This window comes from Homo sapiens, chromosome 1, assembly GCF_000001405.40.
Source record: "Homo sapiens chromosome 1, GRCh38.p14 Primary Assembly".
In the NCBI taxonomy this organism is placed as follows: domain Eukaryota; kingdom Metazoa; phylum Chordata; class Mammalia; order Primates; family Hominidae; genus Homo; species Homo sapiens.
The window spans coordinates 40,450,062-40,467,034 of NC_000001.11; the positions used below are offsets into that span (position 1 = coordinate 40,450,062).

The window sequence follows — 16,973 nt, forward strand, 5'->3', positions numbered from 1 at the left end:
GCGCACTGGGCCCCGACTGCCCGCCGCAGCGCTACGTGGGAGCTTGGCCGCGCAGTGCCGGAACCCGGCTGCAGCGGTGGGAAGGCGGGGGCGTGCCGGCCCAGCGGGGAGAGGGTGAGCGGGTGGCTGTCCCGGGCTTGGGGAGCTGGGCGAGCCGGGAAGCGCGAGTTCCGCCCGCGGCCACCCTGTCGCGCGCGGTGCTCTCCGCAGCCCCGGAGTCGTGCTCAGACAAAGGCTGGGAGGCTAGGGCCGGGGGCGTTTTGCTTTGTGGGGAGGACTTAGCCTCTCATTTGGGGAGGAGGAGGCGGGGTCTAGCGGTTTCGCGGTTTGCTACAGCCGACTAGTGAAAGAGCTGGGATTCCAAATCCCCGGCTACTTTACACATAATTACTGCCCCAAACAAAGAATTGGGTTGTATTCGTCTCTTTGTGCTTCCTGACATGTGCGCGGTGCTTTGAATTTTGTGGGCTGTGTCTGCCCACCGTCTCCGTGTATCTTTTGGAAACATTTTACAGTGATCCATATATGTTCTAGCGTTCTGCCCTATGACTGAGCCTCCTTAGTCCTTTGCTGATTCTAATGTCTTCTGCTCAGCATCTGCAGGGGCTGCTGAGAGTAAATACTTGGCGCCTCCAGCTGCTGGCCAAGGAGACAGATGGAGCTCAAGTTGGGAGATACGCCCTGAGAGCCGATGATAGACACAAGTCCAGATCTCGGATTTTGATACTGTATGTTCCCTGGGTTCCTGAGAGAGGACATTGAGGAGTAGGAGTCGGCGATTAAGGAGATCGGTACAATTGGGAAGCCTCCTGTCAGAGCTTCCAGCAATTTCCTCATCAGAGGTGGACAAGCCCTATGGGCTAAGACAGAGGGTCCTCAGAAAGGAGTGCGGACGCCGTCATGCTGCAGCAGCTCCTGATCACCCTGCCCACCGAGGCCAGCACCTGGGTGAAGTTGCGTCATCCAAAGGCGGCCACGGAGCGGGTGGCCCTGTGGGAGGATGTGACTAAGATGTTTAAAGCAGAAGGTAAGAATAAACTGATGGGTGGGAGGGAGGAAAAGCAGTCCCCTCTAGTGTGAGAAGGAATGAGTCACTTGAGTGGAAGCATCTCTTAGGGAGACGAGTGGGTGGAGGGTTTCCGGAGTTGTTGATTGTGGCTCCTAGTCTGGGGTTTTCCTAAGTAGTGGTGGTCTTTTCAGCCTAGGACCAGTATTTCAGTGTCATGGTTATGTATATTATTTATTTTCATCTTTCCCATGGCCATGTGGGGCAGGATGGACTTAACCTGATTTTTCTTATTCTAACAGTGGGGAAATGTAAATCAAATGGGAGGCCTGCCCAGGGTCACACAGGAACTTGGTGGCTAGGTCAGAAAGAGAAGCAGCAGGGGAAGTACCAGGTGAGCCTGGAGTAACTTGTGCTAGAAAGCAAGGAAGAGCTTAAAGACTATGGATATGTGTCAAAAGAGGCCAGGTTTAAGGGTCTCTCACTCGACAGATTTGGGAAAGCTTAAGTATCCAAACTGATGGTAACACCTTGAATAAGTAAAATTCCACATGATCACCTTGACACTTAAAATAGAGAAAGACGTGGGGGGGGGGGAATTCATTTGCAAACATTGGAGGTAATTAATACACTGATTCCTTACTTTGAAAAATAGGTTATTATGGGAATGAATGTGCATTTACCTTGCCTTTTAGATCCTCTTCAGTTGGTGAGGGAAAGCTTTTTACAGAAAATGCGTGCCAATAATGAAGGTAGAAAGAGGCCAGGTGTGGTGGCTCATGCCTGTAATCCCAGCAATTTGGGAAGCCAAGGTGGGCGGATTGCTTGAGACCAGGAGTTTGAGGTCAGCAGTTTGAGACCAGCCTGGCCAACATGATGAAACCCCATCTCTGCTAAAAATACAAAAATTAGCTGGGCGTGGTGGCACATGCCTGTAATCCCAGCTACTCGGGAGGTTGAGGCACGAGAATCGCTTGAACTAGGAAAGGGGAGGTTTCAGTGAGCTGAGATGGCGCCACTGCACTCCAGGCTGGGTGACAGAGCAAGACCTTGTCTCAAAAATAAATAAATAAATAAATAAATGTAGAAAGAATGATAGAATCTTTTACCGTAAATAAAATAATTGAAAGGTTAATGGGGAACAGATACTCACATGATATCAAAGTATTATCCCCTCAAATTACTTACTAAATGGCAAGGAATGAACATAATTTTCCAATAGTGAGGTGTGGTGGTCACAGTTTTAATCAAATGTCTCAGTAATGGGATAGCCGGGCATTTTATACTTTGCAGATACTGTAATATAAAGCACCTGGTACCACCTACAAGGTATTCCTACCAAAAATGTTGAACATGATCCTAAATTAAGTTTAAAGACTGAACTGCTGGTTTACAGAAAATACAGGGGATGGAGAAATGAGATAAACCTCACATTGAGGATACAGTCAGACTGTTCTTGTATCTTAAAAAGACAACATCATGAAGAAAGGGGAAGTACTTATTCTAGAGTAAAAGAGACTAGAGGTAACAACCACTTTGAATGTGTGAGCCTTGATTAACTCCTGGTTTGGAAAAAATCCAGAATAAAAGTTGAGGAAACAGTTGAGGAAATCTGAATATGGACTGAATATTTAGATGATACTATGGAATTATTGTTAATTTTCATAGATTTAATAAATAGTACTGTGGTTGTACAAGAGAAGATCCTTATTTGAAATATTTAGGGATAAAGTATTATGATGCAGACGACTTTGAAGTGCTTCAGAAAAAATGTAGATAGGTAAAGCAAATATGGTAAATATTAACAATTGTTGAATCTAGATGTGGATGTATAGATGTTCAATATTCATGATAAAAAGTTGGAATAAAATACAAAGACAGTTATTCATGTGCCTTAATTCCTAGTGGTTTTTTTTTTTTTTTTTTCCTGTCACCCAAGCCGGAGTTCAATGGCTCGATCTTGGCTTATTGCAACCTCTGCCTCCCGGGTTCAAGTGATTCTCCTGCCTCAGCCTCCCAAGTAGCTGGGATTACAGGCGCCTGCCACCACGCCCAGCTAATTTTTGTATTTTTAGTAGAGACGGTGTTTTACTATCTTGGCCAGGCTGGTCTCCAACTCCTGACCTCGTGATCCACCCACCTCAGCCTCCCAAAGTGCTGGGATTACAGGCTTGAGCCACCGGGCCTGGCCTGTAGTGCATATTTTTAATACCTCAATTCAGCCAGTGTTACTTAAATTCTAGAAAGCTGGCAGTGTGTTATGTGTAGCACTTTAGCAGATGGAGAAAAATGAGCAAGGTACAGTTTCTATCCATACCCTCATTAATACTCAACTGAGAGAGATAATTAATTATAAAAAGCAACCTGAGATAGATACTAGAATAGATATAAAAACCAAGCTTTTGGGAAGCATAGGAGAGAATAAACTTTCTTCTCATTAAGGGTGTCTGGGAAAACTTTACTTGAACTGGGCCTGAAGGGTATCGCAGTTTTTCACCAAATAGGATTTGGGTGGGGTACTATCCACATGTATTCAAAGAATGGTACCAGGATTGTGTGGGTAGGTGTGTCCAGTGGATGAAGGATAATGTTTAGAGGAGATAATACTTGGAGAAGCCATGGACTGGTTGTGGAGGATCTTGAAATCTATGTTGATTAGTTGGGCGTGGTGTCACACGCCTGTAATCCCAGCTACTCGGGAGGCTGAGGCACGAGAATCTCTTGAACCTGGGAGGTGGAAGTTGCAGTGAACCAAGATTATGCCACTGCCCTCCAACCTGGGTGACAGAGCAATACTCTGTCTCAAAATCATAATAATAATTAAAAAATAACAAAAAAGAAATCTATATTGAAGTGTTTGCATTTTTCTTTCATGTCAGTGGGGAAACCTTTGAGGATTTTTGAACAAAAGATTGGCCTGAGAGATTACTAAGACCATTGGGAAATATTAATGGTGAAAGCAGCTTGCAGCAGGTCCTCCTTATTAAGGAGGCTTTGAGCTGCTCTTGAGTCCGTCTAAATGTCCCTGTTTGTGAACGTTTTTGGGGAGAAGCCACAATGAGTGGGTCTGTAGGCAGTTTCTCTGTTTGGGTGATTTGGGGAGATGCAAACCTCATGGCTCTTTTCCTTCCCCAGCTCTGCTGTCTCAGGATGCTGATGAGACCCAGGGCGAAAGTTTAGAGAGTAGAGTGACCCTTGGATCCCTGACAGCAGAATCCCAGGTGGGTTGGAGTTTCTGGTCACTTTCTTGACATTGTTTCTCAGATTTTAAGAGCGCAGGAGTTTGATTTTCTTTGACTCAACTTCCTGGATTGGCTTTTCTTTTTTTTTCTTTTTTTCATTATTTTTTGAGACGGAGTCTCACTCTGTCACCCAGGCTGGAGTGCAGTAGCGCAATCTCGGCTCACTGCAAGCTCCGTCTCCTGGGTTCACGCCATTCTCCTGCCTCAGCCTCCCGAGTAGCTGGGACTACAGGTGCCCACCACCACACCTGGCTAATTTTTTGTATTTTTAGTAGAGACGGGGTTTCACCGTGTTAGGCAGATGGTCTCAATCTCCTGACCTGGTGATCCACCCACCTCGGCCTCCCAAAATGCTGGGATTACAGGCATGAGCCACCACGCCCAGCCGATTGGCTTTTCTTAGCCTGTTCTTCCTCAGAAAACCAGGCCACATCAGTTGATTTCACAGGTAATCTCCCCACCAGTAGTAACCCTCCACAGGAAACCTCTTGTTTTTGCAAACCTCTAGCCATTTATCCAACAAATACATTGTGCTGAGGCCGCATGTGTGTGTGAGAGAGAAAAGGAAATAGAGAGGAGAAGAAGTAATGTAATGTAGTCCTAGCCCATGAAATTCACATATCATCTGGGAGAAAGACAAATATGAGTCATTTTAAGCAACATTTAAAAGTCAACAGAATCAGTTTCTGATATTCTTGGAGATGTATACACTTCATTGATGACCTTTAAGTGAGGATTTTTGGTCAAGTCCTAGAGCAGAACTGTAACTGAAAAGAGAAATGAGTAGAGAAGATACTGGCAGGTCATGAAGAACATGAGCTAAATAGGCTAAGCAGAAAAGGAAGGAAAACTTCTAATAGCAGTTTAACAGTGTGCCGTGTGTCCTAAATGAAGTAGTCAGAAAACTGATAGCATTGGCAAAGCTCTGCACTACCAAACCCCAGAGGCATAGGGAAACTCAAGAAAATTAGAGAGTAGTCAGAGAAACATAAGAGGGTATTATTAGAGAACAGAAGAGTTTAGAGTGATCTTGGCTCCCAAAATCACATGGTTTAATCATGTGTTTAAATCATAGGGTTTAATCCTATGTCTTCAACTTTTCTCAAATTCAGCTTTCTCATAGGTTAAATGTGGATGCTAACATCAGCCTAATAGGCCTGAAGGGCATTTCAGAATTATTTACAATACGAAACATTAAAATATTCTCTATACTTAGGGGATTTGTTGTTATTTCAGCCTTCCAGCTTCTGAATTCTCTTAGCTTTTGGGAGGTTTTTGTTTGTTTGTTTTTTGTTTGTTTGTTTGTTTTTAATTATACTTGAAGTTCTGGGATACATGTGCAGAATGTGCGGGTTTGTTACATAGGTATACATGTGCCATGGTGGTTTGCTGCACCCATCAACCCGTCATCTACATTAGATATTTCTCCTAATGCTATCCCTCCCCTAGCCCCCATCCCCTGACAGGCCCTGGTGTGTGATGTTCCCCTCCCTGTGTCCGTGTGATCTCACTGTACAACTCCCACTTATGAGTGAGAACATCCGGTGTTTTGTTTTCTGTTCCTGTGTTAGTTTGCTGAGAATGATGGTTTCCAGCTTCATCCATGTCCCTGCAAAGGACATGAACTCATCCCTTTTTATGGCTGCATAGTATTCCATGGTGTATATATGCCACATTTTCTTTATCCAGTCTATCATTGATGGGCATTTGGGTTGGTTCCAAGTCTTTGCTATTGTGAACAGTGCTGCAGTAAACATACGTGTGCCTGTGTCTTTATAATAGAATGATTTATAATCCTTTGGGTATATACCCAGTAGTGGGATTGCTGGGTCAAATGGTATTGCTGGTTCTAGATCCATGAGGAATCGCCAGACTCTCTTCCACAATGGTTGAACTAATTTACACTCCCACCAACAGTGTAACAGCATTCCTGTTTCTCCACAGTCTCCCCAGCATCTGTTGTTCCCTGACTTTTTAATGATCACCATTCTAAATGGCATGAGATCGTATCTCATCGTGGTTTTGATTTGCATTTCTCTAATGGAGTATTTTTAAAAAATAATTGTCAAACGGTTATTTTTTGTAGATCATACATAATAGACACTTATACTTCTTACCCCAGAATGTCTATCTCTGTCCAGACGTCTTCATTACTAGGCAGAATTCATGCTCCCTCCAAAAATGTGCTGTTCTCTCATACTTTTATTATTAACAGAAAAACCTAGGTAAACGTTATTTTACCCATGCTAAAGTATTCCTATTTTAACCAATTCTTTCAGCCCAACAAAAGTCCCTGTCTTCTCTTGTGGCCTTAGCCCCTTCTGAACTCCCCACTTTCCCAAATACTCCTGAACTTTATTGTCTTTAATCAAAATTACTGTACACTGTACTGTGACCTTCTTTAATATTTCATGAACATTTTCACTTCAGCCAGATTGTAAGTTGCAGAGGTAACTTACATGTTTTATGCATTGTTTTATAACCTCCATTTTATGTAATCTATAATCATTAGAATAAATTAAATGATTAGCAAGACAGTATCCAGGAAAACTTGACTAGAATCTCTTAGCATCTAGACAAAAGTCAGAACAACTTCCCAAAGTCTGGCTGAAAAGGAACGTATTTGATGTTCTAGGAACTGTTAACCTTCAAGGACGTATCTGTGGACTTCACTCAGGAGGAGTGGGGGCAGCTGGCCCCTGCTCACCGGAATCTGTACCGGGAGGTGATGCTGGAGAACTATGGGAACCTGGTCTCAGTGGGTAAGGATGGGCTCCTCTTGAAAATAGAACGTACCTATTGGATGAAAACCTTTGTTTCTAAATTAAGTGCTTTGTTTGGGCTTTCGGTTCTGTATTAGAGGTTTTGTGTTTCCTTCTGAACACCCAGTCAGGATTGCTATGCTCTTTTCTGCTCTGTTCTTTCTACTCTACTCTGCTTTCTTTAGAAGGCCCGAATACCAAAGAACCATATTTAAATTCTTGGGATGGCTCTGTGACCTCAGCATATACAGTCTTTTCTTCCCCATAAGCAGGATGTCAGCTTTCCAAACCTGGCGTGATTTCCCAGTTGGAGAAAGGAGAAGAACCATGGCTGATGGAGAGAGATATTTCAGGAGTTCCAAGTTCAGGTAAGTGCAAGGCAGGTGGGGCCTTTGTGATGTTAGCCAGAGAATTCCCCTCAAGGCCTTCTCCAAGTTGTGGGGAAGACTGAGGCCATGTGGATGGTACATTCAAGAAAGTTGATTCTGTTATCTCTGTCACCCTTTTCCCACACTTCCATCTTCTCATTAGTCTCTCTGGAGTCAGAGGAAAAGAGATGCCTTTCTCATCAGAGTTAACCTTCTTCATCATTTCTTTTGATCTGAGCTTCATGATTTTTACCTCTTTCTCCAATATTCTAAACCTTGCTCTGATCATAGTTTCTTTCCCATGTACATTTAGATTTACACAGGTCTCTCCTCATTAAACACAGTCCACTTCACTGGACTGTCATGTCATTTTACCATCGGTTTCACTGTCTCTCAATGATTTCATTTTCAATATTTTTCTAATCCTTATTTTGTGATCACAGTTTCAGTTGCAACTCTCTCATTTTAACTTGTGTAATTTAACTTTTCATGCCAGAAAATTTATGGCTCTTTGAGAAATCAACCACAGAATTCGTTCTTAGCAGATCCAGTGGCTTTTAACAGTCTTCTTTAACATTTAAGTACAGTAATAATGACAGGTATTTACCTGGGTTCTCTGTGAATGATAGCTGGGTTCTCTGTAAGTCCCACATTAGCTCTGTCTTACACATGAGGAAAAGGAGGCTGATTAAGAAATGTATACAGGGCAGTTAGCTACTACTTGGTGGACTCAATATCTTAATTCTAGTCATTCTGACACCACAGTTTGTGTGTTCTTATGGCACTATTTTACACGACTGCATTAGATTACACATGTAGACCTCGCCACCTTAATATCCTTTCCTCTATCAACTAGTTTAATAATTTTTGTCTCCTCTATTTCTCTCATTGCTTTTTCAGTGTTTCTCATCAGTGTCTTTTTTAATGCAGATACATGATTTCTGCCTAGGTCAGGATAGGCTAAACTACTGTAATAAATCGACTCCAAAATTTCACAACAGATTTTGAGCTGTAAGTTATCTCAGACAGAATATGAACTTATGCCTTGATCATACACTGATCTGGAGAAATTGTTTTTTTTTTTTTTTCTTTTTTGAGACAGAGTCTTGCTGTGTCACCCAGGCTGGAGTGCCGTGGTGCAGTCTCGGCTTACTGCAACCTCCACCTCCTGGATTCAAGCAATTCTCCTACCTCAGCCTCCCAAGTAGCTGGGGTTACAGGTGTGAGCCACTGTGCCCAGCTAATCATTTTTGTATTTTTAGTAGAGACGGGGTTTCGCTATGTTGGCCAGGCTGGTCTCGAACTCTTGGCCTCAAGTGATCTGCCTACCTTGGCCTCCTAAAGTGCTAGGATTACAGGCATGAGCCACTGCACTGGGCCCTGGAGAAATTGTTTAGGTCGCTGGACAGTTCCTCTTCATCTGGTGATTCAGAAAGATTCTTCTGCCTTGTGGCTCCTCTATCCACTAGGGTTTCCTCATCATCTGCATTTAGACAGCATAGAATAAGTGAGGAGTTAGGATAGAATAAGCAAAGGAGTTCATTTGGGAGGTTTTTATGGGCCAGTCTAAGGTGGTTCACATCACTTTCACTTTCATTCTCTTAACAGGAGAGACCTTTGTGACTTCACTCAATCTAATTCAAGGGAGATTGGGAAATATCATCTATTCGTATGTCCAAAATCGGGGTGAACAGAGTTTAGGGAATAACCAGCAGACTCTGCCACAATTTCTGAGGAACCTCTGTCTTTTTTACACTGTTGCTCCATTTCTGTACAAACTCCCACAGATGTTTTGTGATGGTTTCAAATATTCCTTCCCTGCCCATATTCTCCATATTTTCATCTTTGTTTTATACATCCATATGAACCCTATTCTTATGTATCTCTGGCATTTATGACATCTCCACATAGAAGCTCTGTACTTCAAACCCAGTACATCCAAAAACAGAAGCCATCTCATCTAAACAAGTTTCTCATCCTAACCTCCCCTGTTCTTTCAGTCTCTAGAAATCATGGTATCAGCAAGAACATTAAGCATGTTTTCTACTCTGTTTTTCCCTGGTTCCCCACAGCTTCTTCCTTAATATTACTTGTTAGATCCATTTCTACTGTTCATCTGTGTTGAGGCAACACTAAGGCACATTTCCATCATTTTATGCCTGAGTTACTCAACTTTCTAGTTGCATTTGCTGATGTCTTATTTTCTTTTTCTGAATCTTCTTGAATGTTACTGCCAGATTTGACCACTTGAAATACGACATTTATCTTGTTTTTACCTTAAAAAGAAAAACTAAACATCTCCCTAGTCCCTGTAATCAGTAATCTAAACATCTCTGCTTGCTTTTTAAGCTGACTCCAAAATTTATTAAGCTATTTCTGAGCACTTTTTATAAGTGAGGTTAGAAATACTAAGGAATAAGATTTTTTTGTGAACAGGAAGTATTGGTGCTTTAGGTTGGCAGAGCCCAAAATGGATGGATAGGAATAGTAAGGGTAAATATCAGAGAAACCCCTTCATCCAAAAATGTTATGCCAGGTATACAATGCATAAAATATATATTCTGTATCCTTAAAGATTTTACAGAGTAATCAACATTTTATCACAAATTGAGAAGCCATTTTCTACCTCTTATATTGGCAAAAATTATGAAGATTGATCAAATCCAGTGAGTATGCAGGGAAAGGCACCCATATTTGCTGAGTGTACACACATCCACAACCCATCAATTTCCCTAGTAAAGCCAATGAAATACTGACAGGAATATACAAGCATTTGTGTATAATGATGTACTATGGTGTAATTTTATAACAATGAAAAATTGGAGACAAGTGAAATATTTTTCAGTAGGGACAAGTCAAATTATGTTATGTCCATGCAGTAGAATGCAATGCAGTTGTAGAAAAAATAAGATAGCCTAGCTGGGTGGCTTACACTGTCTTCCCAGCAACTCAGAAGGCTGAGGCAGGAGAATTATTTGAGTCGAGGAGTTGGAAACCAGCCAGAGCAACATAGCATGATCCCATCTCTAAAATATAATAATAATTTAAATTTTTGTTAAATAAAGAATGAGATAAAACTTAATGTACAGATATAAAAAGAGGCCCTTAAAGATATAGACTTAAGGCCAAGTGTGGTGGCTCACGCCTATAATCTCAGCACTTTTGGAGGCCGAGGCGGGCAGATCACTTGAGGTCAGGAGTTCAAGACCAGCCTGGCCAACATAGCAAAACCCCATTTCTACTAAAAATACAAAAATTAGCAGCTGGGCGCAGTGGCTTAAGCCTGTAATCCCAGCACTTTGGGAGGCCGAGGCGGGCGGATCATAAGGTAAAGAGATCGAGACCATCCTGGCCAACATGGTGAAATCCCATCTTTACTAAAAATACAAAAAGTAGCTGGGCATGGTGGCGCATGCTTGTAGTCCCAGCTACTTGGGAGGCTGAGGCAGGAGAATCATGTGAACCCAGGAGGTGGAGGTTGCAGTGAGCAGAGATTGTGCCACTGCATGCCAGCTTAGCAACAGAGTGAGACTTTGTCTCAAAAAAAAAAAAAAAAAAAAGCCAGGTGTGGTGGCGCATACCTGTAATCCTCGCTACTCAGGAGGCTGAGGCAGGAGAATTGCTTGAATCTGGGAGGCGGAGGTTGCAGTGAGTCAAGATCGCCCCACTCCACTCCAGCCTGGGTGACACAGCAAGACCCCATCACAAAAAAAAAAAAAAAAAAGATATAGACTTAAAACAGATGTAGATATGTATACCATGATCTTTTTTTTTTAACAGATGTATATTTAAGACCATATATGTACAAATGCATACATTCACATATACATTTTGGTGGGAAATGTATGAATGGAGACATTTCAGAATCCTCAGCGACTGGAGGGAATTTTATCCCAGTTAGGGAGATGCTATCCTTTGTTAAAAGTCAGTGCATTCCTACATTATTCAGTGTTTTATTTTAGTGTTTAAAAGTATTTGAGATAACTTTTAAAATACTTTTTTTTTGGAAATAAAGAAAATTTTGTCAGAGAAATATGGGCTTGAGATGATATGATGTTAGAATCCTATCTTACACCCAGGCATGGTGGCTTACACCTGTAATCCTAGCACTTTGGGAGGCCGAGGCAGGTGGATTGCTTGAGCTCAGAAGTTTGAGACCAGCCTGGGCAACATGGTGAAACCCCATCTCTACAAAAAATACAAAAATTAGCCAGGTATGGTGGCATGTGCCTGAAGTTCTAGCTACTTGGGGGACTGAGTTGGGAGGATTGCTTGAGCCCAGTAGGTTGAGGCTGCAGTGAGCCGTGATCATGCCACTGCACTCCAGTCTGGGTGACAGAGTGAGAGACCCTGTCAAAAAAAAATTCTATCTTCCTTGATATTATCTTCTGATATTTGCTCTTATTGTCTTATTAGTTTATATCCTCTTGCAGTTCACATGGATGAGCTCCTCCTAATTTCTTAAAAATCATTTTACTTACTTTTTTCTTTGAGGCAGAGGCTTGCTCTGTTGCCTAGGCTGGAGTGCAGTGGCGTGATTACGGGCTGAGATGTGAAGTGATCCTCCCAACTCAGCCTCCTAAGTAGCTGGGACTACAGGCACACACCACCATGCCTGGTTTTTTTGTTTGTTTGTTTGTTTGTTTGTTTGTTTTGGTTTTGTAGAGACAGGGTCCCTTTATGTTGCCCAGGCTGGTCTCGAACTCCTGGGCTCAAGCAATCCTCCTGCCTCAGCCTCCTAAAATGCTGGGATGATAGGCATGAGCCACCGCACCTGGTCCACCTTACATACTTCTGACAGCTTCTTTTCTCTACTTCTTCACTTGCATCCATATCAGCTCTCTAGACGGCAGAATCACATTTGAGGATGATCCAGAACTCCTGTACCTAGTATATATATTTTGTCCTTCCATTCTCACCGTGGCAATTAATTTTTTAAAGTGCAAGGAATATGGATCTTTTTTTTTATTATTTCTTTCAGACTTGAAGAGCAAAACAAAAACCAAAGAGTCAGCCTTACAGAATGATATTTCGTGGGAAGAACTACATTGTGGCCTAATGATGGAAAGATTTACAAAAGGAAGCAGCATGTATTCCACCTTGGGAAGAATCTCCAAATGTAATAAGCTAGAAAGCCAACAAGAGAACCAAAGAATGGGTAAGGGGCAAATCCCCCTGATGTGCAAGAAAACATTCACTCAGGAGAGAGGCCAAGAGTCTAATAGATTTGAGAAAAGAATTAATGTGAAGTCAGAAGTTATGCCAGGACCAATAGGTCTTCCAAGAAAAAGAGATCGTAAATATGACACACCTGGAAAGAGAAGCAGATACAACATAGATTTAGTTAATCATTCAAGGAGTTATACAAAAATGAAAACCTTTGAGTGTAATATTTGTGAAAAAATCTTCAAACAGCTTATTCACCTTACTGAACACATGAGAATTCATACCGGGGAGAAACCTTTCAGATGTAAGGAATGTGGAAAAGCCTTTAGCCAAAGTTCATCTCTTATTCCGCATCAGAGAATTCATACTGGTGAGAAACCCTATGAATGTAAGGAGTGTGGGAAAACCTTCAGACATCCTTCATCGCTTACTCAACATGTTAGAATTCATACCGGGGAAAAGCCCTATGAATGTAGGGTATGTGAGAAAGCCTTCAGCCAGAGCATTGGACTGATCCAGCATTTGAGAACTCATGTTAGAGAGAAACCTTTTACATGCAAAGACTGTGGAAAAGCGTTTTTCCAGATTAGACACCTTAGGCAACATGAGATTATTCATACTGGTGTGAAACCCTATATTTGTAATGTATGTAGTAAAACCTTCAGCCATAGTACATACCTAACTCAACACCAGAGAACTCATACTGGAGAAAGACCATATAAATGTAAGGAATGTGGGAAAGCCTTTAGCCAGAGAATACATCTTTCTATCCATCAGAGAGTCCATACTGGAGTAAAACCTTATGAATGCAGTCATTGTGGGAAAGCCTTTAGGCATGATTCATCCTTTGCTAAACATCAGAGAATTCATACTGGAGAAAAACCTTATGATTGTAATGAGTGTGGAAAAGCCTTCAGCTGTAGTTCATCCCTTATTAGACACTGCAAAACACATTTAAGAAATACCTTCAGCAATGTTGTGTGAAATATACTAAACATCAAAGAATCTATGTTGGAGCACAAGATTCTAAATCAGTGGTTCCCTGATCCCTCAAAAATCCATTTGTTTTTGGATTTCCAAAAACGAACATTAAAAAAAAATGGTTTGGCACAATGTTCCCAACTCTTAATTTTGCCATATTAAAAACACAACACCTATTATCAGCATTGTTTCAGAAAAGAAAGGACATTTTAATATTTTTAAATGTAGGAACAGTTCCCCCCTCCATTTTTTTTTTTTTTTGTTTTTTGAGATGGAGTCGCTCTGTCACCTGAGCTGGAGTGCAGTGGCGTGATCTCAGCTCACAGCAACCTCCACCTCCCAGGCTCAAGCAATTCTCCTGCCTTAGCCTCCTGAGTAACTGGGATTACAGGTGCCTGCCACCACACCCAGCTAATTTTTGTATTTTTAGTAGAGACAGGGTTTCACCATGGTGGCCAGGCTGGTCTCGAACCATTCAGGTGATCCGCCCATCTCGGCCTCCCAAAGTGCTGGGATTACAGGTGTGAGCCACCGTGCCTGCCCCTCCCCCACCCCCGACCCAGACCCTTTTTTAAAAAACAGTTTCACTCTTGCCCAGGCTGGAGTGCAGTGATGTCATAGTTCACTGCAGCCTCAAACTCCTGGGCTCAAGCAGTCTTCCTGCCTCAGCTTCCCAAGTAGCTGGGCCTACAGATGTGCACCACCATGTCTGGCTAATTTATTATTATTATTATTATTATTATTATTATTATCATTATTATTATTGTAGAGACAGTCTCACTATGTTGCTGGACTGGTCTCAAACTCCTGGCTCCAAGCAGTTCTCCCACCTCAGTCTCCCAGTATGCTGCGATTACAGACATGAGCCACCGTGTCTGGCCAGGAACAGCCTGTTATATTACGTCAGCTTTATGACAGACTCCCACATTTATCTTTACTTTTCCCAGTTCACTATGTGCCAGTGAAATTTCATGGCGTGTTAGTGATCTGTGGATTAACTTTTGAGAAACACTCTTTTAAGTATCCCTTTAATAAATCAGAATAAAATATAGTACAGCCTTTTACTCTAGCCCTTTATATGGCTAGAAGAGGTAGAAATTAAAATGTTGCTTCTCATTTCTAGAAGAAAAAATGTTAAAGGGAGTTTTCTAGCATTGATAGATAACTTACTGTACACGAGATGCTTATTTATATTTTATGGTTTTATATAGAGCAAGAATTGGCAAACTTTCTGTAAAGGGCCAGATAGTAAATACGTTAGGTGTTGTGGGCCATGTGGTCCCTGTCACACCTATTCAACTTCCCCATTTTAGTACAAAACAGCCAGAGACAATATATAAACTACAGTATCTGAACCTTGGCACTACCAATATTTTGGACCGGATAATACTTTGCTATAGGAAGCTGCCCAGTGCATCCTGGGATGTTTAGGGGAATCCTTGGCTTCTACCCACAAGATGCCAGCATTCAATGCTGATAGCTGCCCCTCCCCCAGTTGTGACAGTCAAAAATGTCTCCAGACATGGCCAGGTGTACCTAGAGGCCAAAATTGTCCCTGGTTGAGACCCACTGATGAATGTGTGCAATAGTGGTTCCCATAAACTGCATTTAAAAAACAGCTGTTAGGTTTCGTTTGGCTCAAGGGCTGTCATTTTTCACTCCTCCCCCCATAGAGTATGTAAAATGATTAGAAATGACAACAGACTATCATTTAGTATCAGATTAGTGTGTGTATATGCCATAAATTATTTCCTTAGCAATTCCTTTAGTATTTTTGTTGCAATAATTCTTTAAACGCTACATTTGTAATGCTGTCTTGGAGCCTAGGAATTATTTTTGGAGATATTTATGCAGACTTCCCTCTATAATGATCGGTTTTTTATTATGGTTAATCCATAAATATTTTGAGATGTATCTCTAAAAAACGAGCACTCTTTGAAAACATAACCACAATGCCATTATTATACCTACAAAAATTAACCACAATTCCTTAAAACATAATGATGCCTTTTTGAAGAGAGATATATTGAGACTTCATTCTGGGGAGAAACCTTTCAGATAACTTTATTTACCTTTTCCTTTGCCAAGCATACAACATTAGATTTGAAATATGCTTTGTATCAAGTGGAAGTGTCTCTTAAGATAGCCCCTAGAACAACACATCAAGAGGCCCACCAAAGAGGACCAGAGAAAGGTGACTGAAGGAGCCATACTCAGGCAGGGAAATACGGAGAGAAAGCAGAGGAATTGGCTCCTAATGCTTCACTGTACTTAATGAAATAGATACTCCATCCTTACAGACATAATTGGAAGTAAGTCAAGTTCAACTTCTTTGTTTTATATGGAGATAGAACAGTTTCAATCACGTGAGTATTATAAGTGTGAATTATCTAAAGTAAAGCTATAAATCCAGAATATATACCAGTATCTCTAGAATTTTTCATATTACTACATTTACTTAAAAAAAAAGCTGGCCTCTAACTCTTAAGTCCTGTATGACTGATGGGCAGAAAAAGAGTGAGGTATACACTGTTTCTTAAAATTGTTCTACCATGTTTCTATGGTCTTAGATTTCCCAAGAATTTGAATTTCTCCAATTGCTTATTTCCCTGAAAGACATGACTATGACTTTTCTCTGTAGTTCCTGCCTCAGTGATCTCATACAGTCTTTGGCTTAAAATACCGTCTCTGTTTAACAGCTGCCAGATTCACATCTCCAGCCCAGACCTCTCCCGAACTCCAGCCTTGTTCTAACCTTTGGGCCGTTTCACTAGCTGTTGCAGATGCCCTATACCCTTACCTTCTCATCTTTGCTCAATTGTTGCCTTCTTACTGAAGCCTATCCTGTCCATACTATTTAATACTGCAGCTGTCTACCTTCCAGATCGAGAAATCCCATACCCCTTTCACCTGCTCTATGTTTTTCATATCACCTATCACCCTAGATACTTCACATATTTGTGTTTATTGTTTACTGTTGTTTCCCCTGGCTATAATGTAAGCTCCATGTGGGCAGGGGCCTTTGTTTTTTTCACTGATATATCACAAGTGCCTAAAACAGTGCCTGACACGCAGAAGGGACTCAGTAAATATGTATTGAATGGTTTTGATTTGAACTGAATTGAACTATGTATCCATGATGCAAGTAAAGAAATGTAATCCATATACTTTCCTACCTACATTTTATATGTGAGGAAATATTTTTTGTTTCCTTTTTCTTTTCTGTGCAAGTGGACCAATATTTGAGAATCGTATACCTTTGAGAATCATAGCTGATATACTTTAAGATAAAAGGGTATTTCTGTGTTAATTTGGTTTGGTTGTTTTTGTTTGTTTGTTGAGACAAAGTCTCACTATGTTGCTCAGGCTGGAGTGCAGCGTCATGATCATGGCTCACTGCGGCCTCAACTTTCTGGGCTCAAGCGATCCTCCCACCTCAACCCCCTGA

At 41.5% G+C, this 16,973-nt stretch overlaps 1 protein-coding gene across 4 annotated transcripts, besides 2 other annotated features; it reads left to right on the plus strand.

Annotated features, from left to right (window-relative positions):
- On the plus strand, positions 3 to 13,654 carry ZFP69B (ZFP69 zinc finger protein B). Of its 4 annotated transcripts, none has more exons than XM_005271136.2 (6): positions 3 to 114; positions 595 to 1,027; positions 4,142 to 4,227; positions 6,884 to 7,010; positions 7,280 to 7,378; positions 12,360 to 13,654. In XM_005271136.2, exons 2-6 carry the CDS (start codon positions 901 to 903, stop codon positions 13,526 to 13,528), a joined length of 1,608 nt encoding a protein of 535 aa, XP_005271193.1. In that variant the 5' UTR covers positions 3 to 114; positions 595 to 900; the 3' UTR covers positions 13,529 to 13,654. The 4 variants fall into 4 exon arrangements, with proteins under 4 accessions (XP_005271193.1, NP_001356494.1, XP_016857636.1 ...); NM_001369565.1 differs by having other exon boundaries at positions 7,283 to 7,378; XM_017002147.2 differs by having other exon boundaries at positions 3 to 76.
- Positions 34 to 293: a silencer, noted in NCBI's record as "silent region_728". NCBI's record gives its function as "represses an Ori minimal core promoter by ATAC-STARR-seq in GM12878 lymphoblastoid cells {active_cell/tissue: GM12878}" and the evidence as "EXISTENCE:reporter gene assay evidence [ECO:0000049][PMID:35858748]".
- Positions 509 to 1,708: an enhancer, noted in NCBI's record as "P300/CBP strongly-dependent group 1 enhancer chr1:40916242-40917441 (GRCh37/hg19 assembly coordinates)". NCBI's record gives its function as "activates an origin of replication core promoter dependent on BRD2, BRD4, P300/CBP, MED14 and CDK7 cofactors, with strong dependence on P300/CBP, by STARR-seq in HCT116 cells {active_cell/tissue: HCT116}" and the evidence as "EXISTENCE:reporter gene assay evidence [ECO:0000049][PMID:35650434]".
- Positions 13,655 to 16,973: the final 3,319 nt, after the last annotated feature.